This window comes from Homo sapiens, chromosome 7 (assembly GCF_000001405.40).
Source record: "Homo sapiens chromosome 7, GRCh38.p14 Primary Assembly".
Taxonomy (NCBI): domain Eukaryota; kingdom Metazoa; phylum Chordata; class Mammalia; order Primates; family Hominidae; genus Homo; species Homo sapiens.
The window spans coordinates 157,052,544-157,056,244 of NC_000007.14; the positions used below are offsets into that span (position 1 = coordinate 157,052,544).

General features: G+C 44.0%; 2 annotated features.

The window, feature by feature from the left end:
- Nucleotides 2,005-2,505: an enhancer, noted in NCBI's record as "H3K4me1 hESC enhancer chr7:156847242-156847742 (GRCh37/hg19 assembly coordinates)". NCBI's record gives its function as "activates a minimal SCP1, AML or CMV promoter by ChIP-STARR-seq in primed H9 embryonic stem cells {active_cell/tissue: H9 hESC(primed)}" and the evidence as "EXISTENCE:reporter gene assay evidence [ECO:0000049][PMID:30033119]".
- Nucleotides 2,506-3,006: an enhancer, noted in NCBI's record as "H3K4me1 hESC enhancer chr7:156847743-156848243 (GRCh37/hg19 assembly coordinates)". NCBI's record gives its function as "activates a minimal SCP1, AML or CMV promoter by ChIP-STARR-seq in primed H9 embryonic stem cells {active_cell/tissue: H9 hESC(primed)}" and the evidence as "EXISTENCE:reporter gene assay evidence [ECO:0000049][PMID:30033119]".

Consider the following 3,701-nt stretch of genomic DNA (forward strand, 5'->3'; position numbering starts at 1 on the left):
AAGTTCTAAAATTGGTTGTGGTGATGGTTGGCCAACTCTGACTATACTAAAAAACACTGAATTGTACAGTTTAAATGGATGGTATATGAATTACATCTCAGTAAAATAGCTTAAAAATACACTTATGATTTTATGATTATGTGATTCCCTTTGGAGCCAGACAGTATGATTGGACCTATAAAAAGGAAATGTGATCCTTGGCTTCCAAAGCTTTGCTGCTCAAAAGTAGACTCTTCCAAACACCAAGGTCTAGGTGACTCTCTTTTAATTAATTTTTTCTAGCTTTGCACTTTTTGTCTAATAGACTTGTGCTTTGCTTTGTTTATATTTTTGTTTTTCAAGTTTTATAATAATGTGTGTGCTTGTACATTCTCCTTGTAAAATTTAAAATATTGTTGAAAGGTCTGAAGTCACTTTGATCATTCCCTCTGCTCCCAATACCCCCAACTTCCTCCTACCATGCCTGTGTATACTCACAGACCTTTACATTTGAATTTTCCTAAATCTTCATGTATCTATAATAGTATATAAGATTTTGCATCTGTGTATGTGTGTGTTTAGCATAAACAGTATTCCCTGTCATGCTGCAACTTGTCCTGTGCACTCAGCGATGTCCGTGTTGGTCTCTCCTTGTTGGTCGCATTCTTCTCAGCTGCTGCTTAGTTTTCCATGATGTATCAAGGCCATAGTTCCTCCAATCATTCCACTATGGCAGATATTTAGTTGCCCCAGAATCCTGTATTTCATGCTTTTCTCTTTGTGAATTCCTTTTTCATTTTGCTGGAGCACCACCTTGAGTAATTTTTTCAAGTCTTGTGTGGCGTGTTGATATCCTTTTTTTGACCTCACAGGTGGCCATTTGTTCATGTGCTATAGAATTCTAGGTTCAGCAACTTTTCCCTCTAAGTTTTGGACACTTCGTTTCATTGTATTATTATATATTATCACCAAGAAGCAATCTGAGGAGTCTTGTCACTTTATACGTACCTTCTCCTCTCCTCCCAGAAGCTCTTAGGATTTTTTGTTTTTTAATTTTTGGAATTCTGAAATTTCATCAGAGTGTGTCTAGGTTTGAGAGCATTTTTTAAATTAATTCTGCTGGTATTCTCTAGGTCTTTGTCATCCAATAATATGACTTTCTTCTGCTCAGAGAAATTGTCTTCTATTATTTCTTTCATGTTTTCTTTTATTTCTTTGATATTTTCTTTCCTTCTGTAGTCTCTTTTCTGTAACTCCTATTACATAGATACCAAATCCCTGTGGGGTTTTTGTTTGTTTGTTTGTTTGTTTGTTTGAGATGGAGTCTTGCTCTGTCACCCGGGCTGGAGTGCAGTGGCATGATCTTGGCTTACAGCAACCTCTACCTCCCGGGTTCAAGCAGTTCTCCTGCCTCAGCCTCCTGAGTAAAGTAGCTGGGATTACATGTGTGTGCCACCATGTCTGACTAATTTTTGTACTTTTAGTAGAGATGGGGTTTCACCATGTTGATAGGCTACTCTTGAACTCCTGACCTCAGGTGATTTGCCTGCCTTGGCCTCCCAAAGTGCTGGGATTACAGGTGTGAGCCACCGCGCCCGGCCCTCTATGGTTTCTTAATGTTTCTCTGATAATTTCCGTCTCTTCATTGTTTTGCTCTATTTGGAGGGAAGATTCCTTCCCATTTATCTTCCAGTGTATCAACTTAATCTTCAGTGTATCAATTGAGTTTTTTATTTCAGCAATTATATACTTATTTCTAAAGATAATTTTGATTTCTCCTTTTCTGAGGAACTCACCCTTCTTTAATGAAGCCACCCACTCTGTTGAGCGTCTCTGAGGATACTGAGAATTTTTCAAAAGTTTTGTTCTGTCCTCCTGGTTATCAGCTGCTCTGTTGTTTCTCTTGGGTCTTCTTTCACATGTTGGGTTTTTGGAAATGGCTGGTGGGTTGTGTGTTCCATGTGTTTATGAGACAGGGGCCGTGTAGGTCTCTGGAGTCAATTTAGTTTAGTTCTAGGGTTTAGTTCAAGAAAAGGACTTAGTTCTAGAAAAGCCTGGCCTTCTGTCTCTTCAGAGGTCCTTCGACGTCTTCCCTCTCAGGTTTGTTTCCTCAGCTTCATGGACAGACAGCCTCAGCCTCAGCTCTGCACGTTTGCACAGAACTTCCCTCCCCCAGACCCTGCCAACAGAGGATGCAAAGGTTTCTAGGAGAGGGTAGGTTGTGATGTAAATATATTTACATAAAATACCACTGGGTGTTTTATGGGTCTAAACTCCAGTTCAGAGGAGCTACCCCTCCAGGGATTTCACTTTACTTCCAAATAAAAGAGCTACTGTCATGAAATCCCAAGGAATCCAGGCTCACCAGGCCCGGCTCTGTGCTGGGTCTCCACGTGCATCACTCAGTGCAGGGTGCAGACGCCACAGTTACCGTCCCTGTTGTGTAGGTGGGAAATAGGTACTGTCATCATTCCCAACATAGACAGTAGGAAATGACTGCATGGAGAGATCAGGTGATCTGAGGCTGCAGAGCAGCGTATGGCCCAGGCAGGACGTGAACCCAGGGCCTGAGCTCCAGCCACTGTCAGTGGACGGCTGCGAGGCCGCTTCCCTCCCACAGCCCCACCTGCAGGGAGAGATCCCATGCCTGTCCTAAAGGGGCACACAGACGGAAATGGAAACTCTGGGCTGTCTCTTACCAGCCATGTGGCCACAGACAAGTGACAGAACCTCTCAACAGCCCGCTTTTTCAGCACTAAAATGGCAACAAAAATACCAAGCAGCTCCTGGGTTGTTGTGAGAATTCAGCCAGGGGTAGTGTATACAGCAGCTGCCAAATACATGTTTGTTACCTGATGGTCTCACTGGGGGCATAAGACAAGGGGCCCGTGAAACAATCACAGAAAAAAAGCAAGAAAATATCACATTTTGCTAAATATGCTATGTCCCATGCTATATTAAAAATTAAACACCTCAGCCGGGTGTGGTGGCTCACACCTGTAATCCCAGCACTTTGGGAGGTTGAGGCAGGCAGATCACCTGAGGTCAGGAGTTCGAGACCAGCCTGACCAACATGGAGAAACCCCGTCTCTACTAAAAATACAAAATTAGCTGAGCGTGGTGGCGCATTGTAATCCCAGCTACTCATGAGGCTGAGGCAGGAGAATCGCTTGAACCCTGGAGGCAGAGGTTGTGGTGAGCCTAGATCGTGCCATTGCACTCCAGCCTGGGTGACAAGAGCGAGACTCCGTCTCAAAAATAAATAAATAAATAAATAAAAATGAAAATTAAACACCTCTTGGTTAAATGAACTCGGATCCCATCCCATAGGCTCTCAGGACAACAAGGTGGCTGGCACATTAAAGGGCAGGTGACTGGCCAGGCACAGTGGTTCATGCCTGTACTCCCAGCACTTTGGGAGGCCAAGGTGGGCAGATCACTTGAGGTCAGCAGTTCAAGACCAGCCTAGCCAACATGGCAAAACCCCGTTTCTACTAAAAATACAAAAATTAGCCGGGCGTGGTATCATGTGCCTGTAGTCCCAGCTGCTCAGGAGGCTGAGGCAGGAGAATGGCTTGAACCCGGGAGGCGGAGGTTGCAGTGAGCTGAGATTGCACCACTGCATTCCAGCCTGGGCAACAGAGTGAGACGCCGTCTTAAACAAAAAAAAAAAGGGCAGCTGACCAAGAGACCAAGAGATCCACCAGTGGGTGGACGGAGAG